The 16,964-nt window shown below is 44.4% G+C and overlaps 1 protein-coding gene across 31 annotated transcripts in view; it reads left to right on the forward strand.

Annotated features, from left to right (window-relative positions):
- Positions 1–16,964, forward strand: part of NCAM1 (neural cell adhesion molecule 1) — a 317,017-nt gene that overhangs the window by 263,951 nt on the left and 36,102 nt on the right. For 15 of the 31 annotated variants that reach the window (NM_181351.5, NM_001400624.1, NM_001386290.1 and 12 more), the window contains 5 exons: positions 6,275–6,425; positions 6,800–6,984; positions 7,348–7,444; positions 7,777–7,947; positions 9,663–9,794. In NM_181351.5, coding sequence (NP_851996.2) covers positions 6,275–6,425; positions 6,800–6,984; positions 7,348–7,444; positions 7,777–7,947; positions 9,663–9,794 — 736 coding nt within the window. Of the gene's footprint in view, positions 1–5,825; positions 5,904–6,274; positions 6,426–6,799; positions 6,985–7,347; positions 7,445–7,776; positions 7,948–9,662; positions 9,795–10,930; positions 10,946–15,415; positions 15,464–16,964 lie in introns of all 31 variants that reach the window. The other 16 variants (NM_001400621.1, NM_001400623.1, NM_001400609.1 and 13 more) reach the window with 4 other exon arrangements.

Raw genomic sequence — 16,964 nt, forward strand, 5'->3', positions numbered from 1 at the left:
AAGTTTAGAGAAAAAAGAATAAAAAGAAACAAACAAACCCTCCAAGAAATATGGGACTATGTGAAAAGACCAAATCTACATCTGATTGGTGTACCTGAAAGTGACGGGGAGAATGGAACCAAGTTGGAAAACACTCTGCAGGAAATTATGCAGGAGAACTTCCCCAATCCAGCAAGGCAGGCTAACATTCAAATTCAGGAAATACAGAGAAGTCCACAAAGATACTCCTTGAGAAGGACAACTCCAAGACACTTAATTGTCAGATTCACCAAAGTGGAAATGAAGGAAAAAATGTTAAGGGCAGCCAGAGACAAAGGTCGGGTTACCCACAAAGGGAAGCCCATCAGACTAATAGCTGATCGCTCGGCAGAAATTCTACAAGCCAGAAGAGAGTGGGGGCCAATATTCAACATTCTTAAAGAAAAGAATTTTCAACACAGAATTTCATATCCAGCCAAACTAAGCCTCATAAGTGAAGGAGAAATAAAATCCTTTACAGACAAGCAAATGCTGAGAGATTTTGTCACCACCAGGCCTGCCCTACAAGAGCTCCTGAAGGAAGCACTAAACATGGAAAGGAACAACTGGTACCAGCCACTGCAAAAACATGCCAAATCGTAAAGACCATCAAGGTTAGGAAGAAACTGCATCAACTAACGAGCAAAATAACCAGCTAACATCTCAATGACAGGATCAAATTCACACATAACAATATAAACCTTAAATGTAAATGGGCTAAATACTCCAATTAAAAGACACAGACTGGCAAGTTGGATAAAGAGTCAAGACCCATCAGTGTGCTGTATTCAGGAAACCCTTCTCACGTGCAGAGACACACAGGCTCAAAATAAAGGGATGGAGGAAGATCTACCAAGCAAATGGAAAACAAAACAAGGCAGGGGTTGCAACCCTAGTCTCTGATAAAACAGACTTTAAACCAACAAAGATCAAAAGAGACAAAGAAGGCCATTACATAATGGTAAAGGGATCAATTCAACAAGAAGAGCTAACTAACCTAAATATATATGCACCCAGTACAGGAGCACCCGGATTCATAAAGGAAGTCCTTAGAGGCCTACGAAGAGGCTTAGACTCCCACACAATAATAATGGGAGACTTTAACACCCACTGTCAACATTAGACAGATCCACAAGACAGAAAGTTAACAAAGATATCTAGGAATTGAACTCAGCCCTGCACCAAGTGGAGCTAATAGACATCTACAGAACTCTCCACCCCAATTCAACAAAATATACATTCTTCTCAGCACCACACCGCACTTGTTCCAAAATTGACCACATAGTTGGAAGTAAAGCACTCCTCAGCAAATGTAAAAGAACAGAAATGATAACAAACTGTCTCTCAGACCACAGTGCGATCAAACTAGAACTCAAGATTAAGAAACTCACTCAAAACCGCTCAACTACATGGAAACTGAACAACCTGCTCCTGAATGACTACTGGGTACATAACGAAATGAAGGCAGAAATAAAGAAGTTCTTTGAAACCAATGAGAACAAAGATACAACATACCAGAATCTCTGGGAGACATTTAAAGCAGTGTGTAGAGGGAAATTTATAGCACTAAATGCCCACAAGAGAAAGCAGGAAAGATCTAAAATTGACACCCTAACACCACAATTAAAAGAACTAGAGAAGCAAGAGCAAACACATTCAAAAGCTAGCAGAAGGCAAGAAATAACTAAGATCAGAGCAGAACTGAAGGAGACAGAGACACAAAAAACCCTTCAAAAAATCAATGAATCCAGGAGCTGGTTTTTTTTAAAAGATCAACAACATTGACAGACCACTAGCAAGACTAATAAAGAAGAAAAGAGAGAAGAATCAAATAGATGCAATAAAAAATGATAAAGGGGATATCACCACTGATCCCACAGAAATACAAACTACCATCAGAGAATACTATAAACACCTCTATGCAAATAAACTAGAAAATCTAGAAGAAATGGATAAATTCCTGGACACATACACCCTCCCAAGACTAAACCAGGAAGAAGTTGAATCTCTGAATAGACCAATAACAGGCTCTGAAATTGAGGCAATAATTAATAGCTTACCAACCAAAAAAAGTCCAGGACCAGACAGATTCACAGCCAAATTCTACCAGAGGTACAAGGAGGAGCTGGTACCATTCCTTCTGAAACTATTCCAATCAATAGAAAAAGAGGGAATCTTCTCTAACTCATTTTATGAGGCCAGCATCATCCTGATACCAAAGCCTGGCAGAGACACAACAGAAAAAGAGAATTTTAGACCAATATCCCTGATGAACATCGATGCAAAAATCATCAATAAAATACTGGCAAACCGAATCCAGCAAACACATCAAAAAGCTTATCCACCATGATCAAGTGGGCTTCATCCCTGGGATGCAAGGCTGGTTCAACATATGCAAATCAATAAACATAATCCAGCATATAAACAGAACCAAAGACAAAAACCACATGATTATCTCAACAGATGCAGAAAAGGCCTTTGATAAAATCCAACAACCCTTCATGCTAAAAACTCTCAATAAATTGGTACTGATGGGACATATCTCAAAATAATGGGAGCTATTTATGACAAACCCACAGCCAATATCATACTGAATGGGCAAAAACTGGAAGCATTCCCTTTGAAAACTGGCATAAGACAGGGATGCCCTCTCTCACTACTCCTATTCAACATAGTGTTGGAAGTTCTGGCCAGGGCAATCAGGCAAGAGAAGGAAATAAAGGTTATTCAAGTAGGAAAAGAGGAAGTCAAATTGTCCCTGTTTGCAGATGACATGATTGTGTATCTAGAAGACCCCATCATCTCAGCCCCAAATCTCCTTAAGCTGATAAGCAACTTCAGCAAAGTCTCAGGATACAAAATCAATGTGCAAAAATCACAAGCATTCTTATACACCAATAACAGACAAACAGAGAGCCAAATCATGAGTGAACTCCCATTCACAATTGCTTCAAAGAGAATAAAATACCTGGGAATCCAACTTACAAGGGATGTGAAGGACCTCTTCAAGGAAAACTACAAACCACTGCTCAAGGAAATAAGAGGATACAAACAAATGGAAGAACATTCCATGCTCATGGGTAGGAAGAATCAATATAGTGAAAATGGCCATACTGCCCAAGGTAATTTATAGATTCAATGCCATCCCCATCAAGCTACCAATGACTTTCTTCACAGAATTGGAAAAAAGCTACTTTAAAGTTCATATGGAACCAAAAAAGAGCCCGCATCACCAAGTCAATCCTAAGCCAAAAGAACAAAGCTGGAGGCATCATGCTACCTGACTTCAAACTATACTACAAGACTACAGTAACCAAAGCAGCATGGTACTGGTACCAAAACAGAGATACAGACCAATGGAACAGAACAGAGCCCTCAGAAATAATGCCACACATCTACAACTATCTGATCTTTGACAAACCTGACAAAAACAAGCAATGGGGAAAGGATTCCCTATTTAATAAATGGTGCTGGGAAAACTGGCTAGCCATATGTAGAAAGCTGAAACTGGACCCCTTCCTTACACCTTATACAAAAATTAATTCAAGATGGATTAAAGACTTAAATGTTAGACCTAAAACCATAAAAACCCTAGAAGAAAACCTAGGCAATACCATTCAGGACATAGGCATGGACAAGGACTTCACGTCTAAAACACCAAAAGCAATGGCAACAAAAGCCAAAATTGACAAATGGGATATAATTAAACTAAAGAGCTTCTGCACAGCCAAAGAAACTACCATCAGAGTGAACAGGCAACCTACAGAATGGGAGAAAATTTTTGCAATCTACTCATCTGACAAAGGGCTAATATCCAGAATCTACAATGAACTCAAACAAATTTACAAGAAAAAATCAAACAACCCCATCAAAAAGTGGGCAAAGGATATGAACGACACTTCTCAAAAGAAGATATTTATGCAGCCAAAAGACACATGAAAAAAGGCTCATCATCACTGGCCATCAGAGAAATGCAAATCAAAACCACAATGCCATACTATCTCATACCAGTTAGAATGGCGATCATTAAAAAGTCAGGAAACAACAGGTGCTGGAGAGGATGTGGAGAAATAGGAACACTTTTACACTGTTGGTGGGACTGTAAACTAGTTCAACCATTGTGGAAGTCAGTGTGGCGATTCCTCAGGGATCTAGAACTAGAAATACCATTTGACCCAGCCATCCCATTACTGGGTATATACCCAAAGGATTACAAATCATTCTGCTATAAAGACACATGCACACGTATGTTTATTACAGCAGTGCTCACAATAGCAAAGACTTGGAACCAACCCAAATGTCCATCAATGACAGACTGGATTAAGAAAATGTGGCACATATACACCATGGAATACTATGCAGCCATATAAAAGGATGAGTTTATGTCCTTTGTAGGGACATGGATGAAGCTGGAAACCATCGTTCTCAGCAAAGTATCCCAAGGACAAAAAACCAAACACTGCATGTTCTCACTCATAGGTGGGAATTGAACAATGAGAACACTTGGACACAGAAACGGGAACATCACACACTGGGGCCTGTTGTGGGGTGGGGGGAGCGGGGAGGGATAGCATTAGCAGATATACCTAATGTAAATGACGAGTTAATGGGTGCAGCACACCAACATGGCACATGTATACGTATGTAACAAACCTGCACGTTGTGCACATGTACCCTAAAACTTAAAGTATAATTAAAAAAAAAAAGAAAAAGAAAAGAAAATAGCCCTGGAATGTATCAGCACTGTCAGCCCTCAAAAATCCAGTATCTCCAACAAACTGGGTGTCACAAGGCTTTCTAGTGAAGTGTTCCACACCTGTTTGTTGTCATCTCTCATTAATGTGTGGCATCTCCTGGGATGCATCTTTCAACCAACCAGCATCCCAGATTTATAGGTCAAAGCAGAGGATCAGAGAACTCATCCCAGGGAGGAATGGCACTTGCAGAAATGGGCAGCCATGACTTTGCTTGACTCTTCTGTCTTCTTGCTAGAGTTGTTTTTTAGCTTCCAGACATGAAATGCATTGGGGCTCAGATGACCGGAATAGGCTAGATCTGTCAGTGATGGTCCAAGGGACTTTTCATTGGTAAATCTGCTGAGACTGCTGAACAAGGCTAGTGATGCCTTGCTTGTGAGCTTCCTAATCTGGCTGCTGTATGACATTGCAATTCTGGGCTTCAGGGCCCCAAACCAGCATATCCAAAGAACCTGAAGCCAATTGTTCTGTCATTCTTTAAAGACCCAACGCATGGGATGGCAGATGCCAGGTGCAGAATATAACCTCCTGTCCATCCCTACAGAACATCATATACTGGAGACAAGAGGGCCCAGCCTACCCAGAACAAGACCCTTTCTCCAGATCACTAACTTTCTTGAGGATCTGAAGTTAAGCCACATGCCTAGACTCTTCCTGGGCCAGCAACCATTTTACTTAGAATGTCAAGGGGAAATCCCCTTGGAAATACTCCAGTACCCATTGCCTAAGGACTATGTGCTTATTCTCTTTTTGACCAATCATTATAATTCCAGAGATTTAGGAAGCCCATTGCTGTATCAAGGACTATAAAATGGTGGTGGCCAAGGTGTCAAGGATCCCAGACCTGCCTAGGACTCTCTGTGCCATTGTCCCTGGAGAGAGAACCCAGTTACTCTCACTTCCAGTGCAGTGGCTCCTGATCTTTGAGTTGTTTGGCTTGTTTTTACATGTGATTATTTCACTTTTAAACATCCAGGAAAGAGGCATCTGCAGAAATAAGGATTTCTTTAATAATTTCTTATGTTGGGCACTTGGAATGTCCTGCCACAGGTACATGCACCATGGAACTGGCAAGTGGGCAGACAGAAAGGACAGGCTGGCAGTGCAGGTTTCCCAGGATCTCATGAGGTAGGGCTGCTGCTGCTGCTGCTGCAATATCTGCTGGCCGGAGGCTTTGCTTCCATTTTAGACATCCCAAACAAAGTCATCTTGGGGGACCTAGCCCCAAACCAATCTTGGTACTTAGATCAGGCTGCCTGACATAACTGAGTCTCATTTTCTGTTTCGGATACTCCCAGGTTCTCATGCTGCTTCCCAGTGCCTCCCCCATTAGATGGTACCTAAAGTAAGAAAGCCATTGACACAGAGAGGAGAGAGGAAGTGAGACGGGTCACAGACAAGTGATGGCCTAGTCTCCCAGCCCCCATCCTGCCATAGCACTGTTGCCCTTCACCCTGCCTTGGGCTCTGACATGCTCCCTTCCCCCCCACCCCCGGCAGACTCTGGATGGGCACATGGTGGTGCGTAGCCATGCCCGTGTGTCGTCGCTGACCCTGAAGAGCATCCAGTACACTGATGCCGGAGAGTACATCTGCACCGCCAGCAACACCATCGGCCAGGACTCCCAGTCCATGTACCTTGAAGTGCAATGTAAGGAATAAATGGGGAAGGACCTGGGGGAGGGAGGGGCAAGGCAGGGTCAGGATGAGAGAGGAAAACATCAGCAAGGACCTATGTGCACCCTGTGTGTTCTGCTTACGTTCCCTGCAGCTGACCCTGGGCTATTTCAGAGCTCTGTTCCCAAGCCACCCCCTACACACCATCTCCAGGCTTCTTACAAGCCTGCTGTGCCCTTGAGTCTTCTTCCCATGCTGTGCACAGGAATTCTAGAATGGCCCTGACCTCTACTATACCAGGCGCTGGCTCTGCTTTGGAGCACACCTGCCTTCCCAGTGCCAGGAGACAGGATATGGGGGCTTCATAATCATGGCAGTCATCCTGACAGTCATTGTTATTTATTGCAGATGCCCCAAAGCTACAGGGCCCTGTGGCTGTGTACACTTGGGAGGGGAACCAGGTGAACATCACCTGCGAGGTATTTGCCTATCCCAGTGCCACGATCTCATGGTTTCGGGATGGCCAGCTGCTGCCAAGCTCCAATTACAGCAATATCAAGATCTACAACACCCCCTCTGCCAGCTATCTGGAGGTGAGTCAGGATGGGGGTGGGACAGAGCAGAGAAAGCACAGTTTGACTCTAGGTGGGCTCCAAAATGCAGCTCAAGTCCTCTCTCCTGCTTCTCTGGCACATCCTGAGCAGGGAAGGCATGGGCTAGAGAAGACACTGAGCCTCTTTTCAGCTCCCCTTCGCCCACTCTACCAGTCCCCTCCCTGAATGTGCCTCTCCCATGAGCCCCTCTGCTATTCTTTTCTCTTGTTTAAGGCTGGGCTGGAGCTAATGATTTATACTTTACTAGTTCTGTTTTTTACTAACTTAATTCAGTAAATAAAGATCTGAGTCTGTGACCATCCCATAGGACACTTGTAACCCAATAGCTTCTTCCTTCTAAAGGTGACCCCAGACTCTGAGAATGATTTTGGGAACTACAACTGTACTGCAGTGAACCGCATTGGGCAGGAGTCCTTGGAATTCATCCTTGTTCAAGCAGGTGAGTGTCCCTTACTCACCTGAGAGCAGCTGCCACAACCCCCCACCTAACCCTGCCAGCCCAATTTGTGTACTTGAGTGATTCCAGGATATTGGGAAGAAGAAAGGGCCAGGGTCAGCAAAGCCAGAGAGTTGGGAAGCTGGGAGCCATTGGATCAGCGCATGGGGCATGTTGGGGGAGAAGCATCTGGTGAGATGGGCCAGGAGGACAGGATACAGTGACAGGATTCCCAAGAGTGAGCAGAAATGACAGAGATGTGCCTTGTGACTGAGAGTTAATGGTCTTGGGCCAAACTGGGCTCACCTGAGTCTCCATATGTGTCTTCCCCACAGACACCCCCTCTTCACCATCCATCGACCAGGTGGAGCCATACTCCAGCACAGCCCAGGTGCAGTTTGATGAACCAGAGGCCACAGGTGGGGTGCCCATCCTCAAATACAAAGCTGAGTGGAGAGCAGTTGGTGAAGAAGTATGGCATTCCAAGTGGTATGATGCCAAGGAAGGTGAGTTGGGCGAGTTGGTGTTTCCATTGGGATCATGAGTGCCTCAGTACTCAGATGTCCCCACCTGCCATCCTGGGCATGTTCCTACAGAATCAGGAACTGCACCTCCAGAATTAGGTCAAAGTCATATCTGCCTGTAGAGTTGTTGCCCCTATTGCCACCCCAACCCATGCTCTGTGCTTCAGAGCCTGGTTCTCATGACCCTTCCAGTATGGATGAAGGCATCTGTACCACATTCCAGGCAGGAACCTTGTGTAGGTTCTGAGCGCAGCCAGATGAGTCCAGCCCATAGGTTCTGAGCATGGCCAGATGAGTCTAATCCATCCTACTCTGCACGTTTGAGTTACCTGTGCTGCAGGTTCTCTGCCGACACCCGGCCAGTCCTGCTTGGATATCTGTACTCAGGGACTGGCTGTCTTGTAATTGTGATAGTAACCAAATAAGCACAGCCAGCAGGACAAGTCTGCCCTTAAATCAGTCCTGTGCTAGCTTTCCAAGCTAAAGATTAAAAGACTGACCCTTGGATTACTGCAGTGTGAAGATTCTGAGCCCAGATCATCTGAGGATAATGTGTGCTTATGTTGGACTCCCCTTTTTGGGTTTAATTGGAATAACTCAGTGAAGTATGTTTTGTTTCTGTACAAATTTTTAATCCTGGTCTCGTATGTGGTAATTCGAGTGGAATTGGAAGTAGGCTGGGATATCAGTATCACAGCCATTCAGAGACATAGTCCAGTGCAGTTTCACTCAGAATTAGTTCTGCCAGAAAGTTTCCATCACTTCTTCAGCTTCTCGGGGGAGCCAGGGGGCCGAGAGGAGCTGCTGGGTAATCAGGATTGGAGCCAGAAGAAAGCAATCACTTTGCCTTCCTAACTTCCCTCTGAAATCTCATACCAATTTTGTGGCAGGTTGATCTCATGTCACTATCTGTCCACCCGACTTTTTTTTTTTTTTAAAGATCAATTCTAGTTATTTTTATTATAAAATATACATAACATACATTTTACGTTCCATCATTTTTAAGTGTAAAATTCAGTGGCATTAAGTTGTAACCATCACCACCATCCATCTCCAGAACTTTTTATCATCCCAAACTGAAACTCTGTACCCATTAAACACTAGCTCTTCATTCACTACCTCCTCCCAGCCCCTGGCAACCACCATGCTTTCTGTCTCTATGTAGTTGGCTATTCTAAGTACCTCACATAAGTGGACTCATATGGCATTTGTCCTTTTGTGGCTAGCTTATTTTATTTCACTTAGCATAATATCTTCAAGGTTCATCCATGTTGTAGCATGTGTCAGAATTTCCTTCCTGTTTAAGGTGGAATAACATTCCATTGTATGTCTATGCCACATTTCATGTATCCATTCATCAGTCAGTGGTCATTTGGGTTGCCTTTCGGCTATTGTGAATGATGCTGCTGTGAACATGGGTAGCCCAGGTATCTGTATCTGTTTGGTCTGCCATCTGTATCTGTCATTTGGGTCTGCCTTTCGGCTATTGTGAATGATACTGCTGTGAACATGGACAGCCAGGTATCTGTATCTGTTTGGTCCCGACTTTCAATTCTATGCATATGCCCAGAAATAGAATTGCTGGACCAAATGATAAATCTACAGTTAATTTTTTCAGGACCCTCCCTACTGTTTTTCAGAGCGGCTGCACCATTTTAACAATAGACTCTTTTGTCATCCTTCCCATATTATAACAGCCAGCATGGAGGGCATCGTCACCATCGTGGGCCTGAAGCCCGAAACAACGTACGCCGTAAGGCTGGCGGCGCTCAATGGCAAAGGGCTGGGTGAGATCAGCGCGGCCTCCGAGTTCAAGACGCAGCCAGTCCGTAAGTAAAGCCAGCTGCCCCCCTTTTCCCAGCCCACCTTCTTCTCCCTGGGGGCAGTGGGGAACCCTGAGCTGGCCCATGTCATTGTTCAGACCACAGCTTTTTGTCTTTCAGATCCCTCTGCTCCTGGAGGCCCCACCTCCTAGTTCTCTGGTTCTCAGTGACAGCTAACACACAGTCCCTTCATTCTCTCTTTCTCCAAGGGGTTGGGGACACTGTCCTAGTAGCCGGTCCAGCTTGTTAGAATAACAGTGAAGGGGAAGGCACCAACACATTATTAAAGGAAGTGGGGAGAAAACCAGGAGTGAGTTGTCAAAGGATCTGGGAAAGTTGCTTTTCGACAGGCCACAGAAGCCCTAAGCACCCTGTGACTTGCAGGAAGAGGGTAAAGATGGTGACAGTTCACATAATGCATTGCGGGATCTTTGATGCAGCAGAGATATTAAGTCAGAGACAAATGGAAACTGCTATAGAATATGTGAGCAGCAGCAGAAACCCAGCAAAGCCAAGGGGAAGAGGTAGCCCTGGCCTTGGCCTTTTCTGCTCCTCTCCCTCCCATAGCAAGAGCATTCCTCACGGCCTCTTTCAAGAGAATTGCTTCCCCCTGATTCCACTCAGGGATGTATCTCTAGGTTTTCCTCGGCCATTCCCTCTTTCTTTTAACTACGCCTATCCCACTTTGCCCTCCCTTCCCACCAGCAGCCAGGCTGTGGGCAAGCCCTGCTCCTGTCATACCCCTTTGCAGACAGAGATACTACCCTGGGAAGCTCCTGAGTCCACCCAGCTAAAGAAGATACCGTAGAACTAAATTTCTGAGTGTTCACAGAGTTCCCTGGGCTCTCTGACCCCTGGATTTAAAATGCACCTGGGAGAATCCTTTGCTTCCTTCTTTTTGAAGCCAGGGGCCTGCAAAGGGACCCACTGCCCTTACCTCTTCCCAGAAATAGGAAAGCCTGTCTCATCTTCCTTCTACAGGAGTGGCTTCTTTCTCTGGATTTGAAGTAATTTGATAATTTGAGTTTCCAGCTCCATGTGCTCTGCGGATTCTATTCATTTCTTTTACATCTTATTTTTTTTTTCTTGGGTCTGTCTCTTGTTTTTTCTTTTCGTCTGTGTTCCATCCATGGGAAATGCAGATAGCCCTCCTCCACGTAAGTGCCTCTTCATACCTCATTACCTGTTTCCATAGCGTTAACATCTGCTAGTTCTAGTTCGTAATTTAGTTCTGGTCCCTTTTTTGTCCCCTAGAGGCTGAAGTAGATGATATTGTCTGGGCCCTAACCACACTGACCTTAGTCTAGTTGTGCTGTTGTTAACGTCTGTAGGTTACTCCAAGAGGCTAACACTCTTCCTGTTTTAGAGCATGCAACTTCTGTGTCTTTGGAAATTGTGCTTATTTATTAATTTTTGTGTGTGATGATTACCCCACGGCAAAGATGGTGTTTGCTGAGCCAAGCATGGTGGAAGTCTGCAGATGGGCCCTGAATAACACGCTATAGCCCCGCCTCACCTTCAGCCAGGATGCCGGGAAAGTGACCACAGCCCCACCAGGCCACTATTCAAAACACCTTGAAAGGAAAAAGAACCTGAAAGGATTTTCATATTTGCTTTTAGGAGATAAAGGAATTGAGCTCAGTTGCTTCCTTGCTTCTTGTCTGTCAGCTTGGTAGCTGGAGGGGAATAGGAGGACTGGCCAGGGAGGCTCCTGCAGCAGCTGCCATAGTCAAAACGTAGCATGAACTTTGGTTCCGAGCCATGGGCATGTCCCACAGGTAGCTGTTGCAGAGTTAAATCTCTAGTTCCGGTCAGCTCTGTTCTTTAGCATGTAGTTACTTGCAGTGTGCATCTCCTCGTTTGGGGAAGACTAACCAGCTAATGTAGGAACTCTTCTGCCATGCATGCTAGGGAAGGGGAGATTCCCCACTGGAAGGACACCCTTCATCATGTAAGCTGTACATAGAGGACACAGGGAACAAGGGTAACAGAGAGATGAACTGTGGTTTGACCCCATTAGCCTGCAGAAATGCCCCTAAACTTCCCTTCTCCTGAGATTTGGTTCTTCCTAGGCTGAACCAGAATAGCGGAGGGAGGTGTTACCCAGGCAGACACAGAAAAAAAGGTATTCAGGAAGCTGTACAGTCTTTTCATAAAAAGGCTCCCAGCTCCTGAAAGGTACCCAAGGAAGCTTATCTTTTTAACATTATTCAGAAATATTGCAGCAACAGCAAAAACTAAGTAGCTACATGTAGGTATTCTGAGATTTTGAGCAAGTGCCAAATGTCCTACCTCAGCAGAGTTGGTGCCGGGATGAACCAGCTCTCGAAGGCATCAGAGTTGGGGGATGGAGCCTTCAGGCCGGACTGACAGGTACCTGCTCTGGGCCTGCAGCTATGCCCTAAGCAAGTTCGAGAGGAGCCACTCTGGGCATGAGGGAACCTTCCTTCTGGATCTTCCCCTGATCTTTAACTTGTGGTTCAACTGAGTCTCCAGGTTTCCTCTGGTCTGGATTTGATCAGTAAATGAATGCTGGCTTAGTTACATTAAAGAGAGGAAGGCTGGGATGAGGCCCCCCTCTGAGTTTCTAACCAGTAACTGGAGTTTGAGTACTGAATCAGAGTAACTGGGTCTTGGACTTCAAAGGCCGCAGTGGTTTTCATTCATTGCCAGCTCAGTTCTTGCAAAGGTGAGACCATATATATAGATATATAGATATATATAGATATATAGATATAGATATATAGATATATATAGATATATAGATATAGATATATAGATATATATATAGATATATAGATAGATAGATAGATATAGATATATATCTCAGAAGCTATATTTTTAAAGTCAATGTTAAAAATGAAATTTTTAATGAAATTTTAATTTTAAATTAAAATTTAGATTTTTAACTACAAAAAAGAGGTCTCCAGACCTTGTTGTTTATTGTCTGATAGTATCAAAATGGATAAGTAACCACGACTCCAAGAAGCCCTTTGGAAAAGGATGGTGTCATCTCTGCATTCCAAGTAGGTCATGAATGGTACAACAACAGGCATTGTTAGTGGTACAGAAAGTCAGTTTTTCTCAATCATTTAATAAAGTTAAGGTCTGAAGAATCAAAAGGCAAACTTCTTTTAGATAAGTAGAACCATGGCATATTCTTAGAGTTGAGCACGCCTTTTGCAAGAATTTTAGCAGGATGAGGCGGTGAACATATGGGAACATCATATTATCACCAAAGATAACTTATTATGGTCTTTCTTTGTGCCCTGATAACCTTCCCAGAGTTGCTGAAGTGAGGACTTAGCCCACGGAGTATCCTGCTGCCCCTAGACCCATCCTGAAAACAGATATCATTGGGAGGATGCTGCCAGCAGTTACAACTGCTATGACAAACCCACCCTTTTGCTGCTAGGAACTGAGGACGAGCCTTAGGAAGGACCTTCTCTGAATTCTTACTCTCATTTCTTGGAAGACACAAAGATTGTCTGAACTTAGGTAGACAGAACCAACCACCAGTTTAGCTGTGTGCTTGCACTGAGCCCAAGAACCAGTGGCATTGGTTTCTGATGCCAGCTTACGGCACCACTGACACTGCACCCCTGTCCTGTAATACTGTTGGGATGCAGATGCACAGCAGGATCTCCTACCACTGGAGTTGTGCTCTGGTTATACCCCAAGCCCCAAGGAAGAGAAGGCACAGAGTCAGCAGAGGCCAGTGTGCTGCACAGGCAGGTGTTGCTGCCGGACTCCTGGGCTGCCAGGTGTCAGGTGAGACCAGCGCATTTGGCACTGACTCATCGCTTGAAGTTCGTTGAGATGTCTCAATAATGGGGTTGCTTTCTTGGTTCTTTAATAGACCTTTCCATGTTTAGGGACATGGATATATCAGAGCAGGGATGAGCAGGGGGAGCTAGTAAAAGCCACAAACACTTAATGGACTCTTGTTTTCAAGCTGCCAGTTAGTAAGCATGGCTTACCTGTTTGGAGGTTCCTTTGTGTGTAGTTCATGAATGTGCATGAAGGTAATGAGGAAGCTGTGACCCCAGACCAACAAATAAAACTCTAACCTGTGAGAATGTGCCTATTTCATGTATTTTTTAAGCCAAATGTCTGCATGCCATCAAGACACTCAGGAGGAAAGCTCAAAACCTCTGTTTGCCTTGAGACGGGCTGCTTGTGTCAGACTCCTTACAACTAGCTAGGAATCTTCCCCTCCATGACTGAGCTACCCACCTTCATAATTTCATTGCCCAAACATTACCTCTTAATTTGCTTCTGTACCATGAAGCAAAATAGATTATTTCTTTTTGAATATAGAGATTATGAATGAGTCTCTACTTTTTTTTTTTTTTTTTTTTTTTTGAGACGGAGTCTCGCTCTGTCGCCCAGGCTGGAGTGCAGTGGCGGGATCTCGGCTCACTGCAAGCTCCGCCTCCCGGGTTCACGCCATACTCCTGAGTCTCTACTTTTTAAAAGAGGCATCTTGAGATTTTTGTTTTCATATGTTGTCCCCCAGGTGGCACATTGCAAGTATAACTATGCAAACAATTCAAGCTAAACAAAGAAAAGAGAGGGAAGGAGACCTGAATTAACCAGACCATCCAATAATGATGAGTTATGATTCTTTGTTGCTTTGATTCCAGTGACACTGTACTCATGGTTTAATGAGATGCCCTCATGTGGAAGGTAAAGGAAGACAAAACCATGAGTATTAGATATTAAGGCAGTGGCGGAGATACACTGAGGTTTTTCCAAATTTTCATCTAGCTCTCGAAGGAGACTTTGTTTTGTGACTGCTGATGGGACTACTTCCAAATATTTGCCAATGAAAAACCAAAGATCCATTCAGTGTCCCAGTATCTCAGATGCACAACTAACCATCCTCTACACAGAAGAATGGCTAGAATTTCAGTCCCAGTCTCTTCATCATTTCTATTCCCTGGAGGAGTGAGAATAATCCTGAACATTATTTGCATGGCTCTTACGTAGCAGCCTCCAAATAACCACATTCTGTAGGGGAGTTTTGGAAGGCAGCAGTGGTTGCAGCATCATCTGTATGATACAGGATCATGAACTTCATACACTAGTACACATTAGGTAGGAGAGCCATTTCTGTCTCATTCATTCAGATGTTGAAATGAGTGAGGCATATAGGTTTTGCTATAAATAAAGTCATATGTGGAAATATATACCTATATAGAAACACATATATAGATGTGTAACATGAAAAGCCAATGTCTATTTTCTCCTTCACTGGTTCACCTTAAACTGAGGTCCAGATTCCTTTTCCTCCTATACCTCTCGTCCTATGGAGACAGCTGGTCCTGCTGAACTGGATATTTGTTTTCAGTCAAGGTTTGAGGCTTGTGCAGCTGTTCCTGGCCCAGACTTTACCTGAACTGCAGGGTTTGGCAGGTGCACAGTCTCAAGGTTTGACGTTAGAGAGAGCCCTGCTCCTCGCTAGTGCCCTGGCCAGCTGTTCACACACGGTGTTGTTCTTCCCACTTTAACTCACTTCAGCTCCTCATACTGATGCCCCAGGGTTGTTGCTTCCATTTTTTTTTCATTCAGTATCTGTGTGCCTCAATGATCTTTTTTCCCCACCTTCATTTTTCTTTCTTCAGCGGCATCTGCTAGCTCGTCTACCCCTGTTCCATTGTCTCCACCAGATAGTGAGTATCATTTTCTTCATCCATCTCTCTGCAGGTCACTTTCCACCAGCCACAGTTTGTTTTGCCTAATGTTATCTCCTTCACCAGGTGATAATTCAACTCAGTTGGTGGAAAGCAGCGTCGGGTTTTAGAGGAGCAGTTGAGAAGAGAAACAGGCATAGGGCTTCTCAGATCCATGAGGGGCAGCCTTCCCTGAAGGAGAGGCGAGGGAAAAGCATTGTTCTGGATAGAAAACCCTGCAGGCAGGATCCCCAAGGCTGCCGCCCTGGGGCCAGCCCTGTCCTCAGGATTCTGAGTGGGCTGGATCAAAGCTCGTATTTGGAGAAGCCAAAGGAATTGACCAAGAAAAATGTCTCCTCTGCAGGGTCATAGAAAATGTGTTGGAGTGTTTTGTTTTTACCCTTCATTTTAATTGGCACAGTTGGATACAGACATTGAAATTAGATAGGGAGGCCTGTAGCTTTCGCTTTATCCATAAATGCATACTTTTCTTGTAAATATTTGTGGGAAAATAAACAGTGTCTGGCAGTGTCTGGCAGATGTGCCTGGCAGTAGGCGCTTAGGCAAATCGTTTAACCCTTCACAAGTGAGCCTTGTTTATCTCCTCTGTAAAATAGGATGAGTAGTCACCCACGTCCCGCCACCCTAAAGAAAATCACAAACATTTTCATGTTTATCATGCTCTGCTTTACCCACATGGGATCATTACCACCAAGCCAGCAGTAATGTCAGCTGGTCGCTCTCAGATTTCATCATCCTGGCTAAGCCTTGCTCATTTCTGATCTAATTAATGTTGCTATCCTGTCCTTTTGTGTGCCTGAATGTGCAGGAGTAGAAGGGGCTCCAGGCCTGCCACTGTTTGGAGTTTTGAACCTAGCTTTCCAGGGAGGAATAGCAAAGTAAGACCACAGCTCAGTAAGACACAGGATGTAATGCCAGCATCTGCCCAGAGTGGCAGACAGCAGCAAATGGGCAGGCAGGGTGGTGCCGCCTGGCTGGCTTTATTCTCCTTGATATATCAGAAGCCCCTGTGGTTTGGACTCAGACTCAGGAGGTGACTCAAGCCTCAAGCTCAGAAGCCCTCTGTCACCATCTGTTGACTCAGAAGCATGCCCACCATCCCATGCAGTGCTTTTCCAGGCACTGTCCTGTAGCAGACGGAGTTCAGGCTTTGGAAGTAGACAGACCTGGGTTCAAATCACAGCTCCGCTTCTTCCGCCTGAAGCTCCATAACCTAGGATAAGTCGCTAAGCCTCCCCAAGTCTCAGATTTCTTACCTCTAAGGTGAAGGATGGATTCCACTTACCTTTTCAGTGTTTGTGAAAATTAAAGATTAAATGTGAAGAACACAAAACATACTGCTCAGCATTTAGCAGCTGGAATTAATAGTAAGAATAAATGAGAGTTATGTTATCTCTTGCTGCATGAAAGTCATTTGTCAGCAAAATCTCTGATCATCTCTTTTAAATATGTATATTAAGAGTCTTTTAAATATGTATAT

This window comes from Homo sapiens, chromosome 11, assembly GCF_000001405.40.
Source record: "Homo sapiens chromosome 11, GRCh38.p14 Primary Assembly".
NCBI lineage: Eukaryota > Metazoa > Chordata > Mammalia > Primates > Hominidae > Homo > Homo sapiens.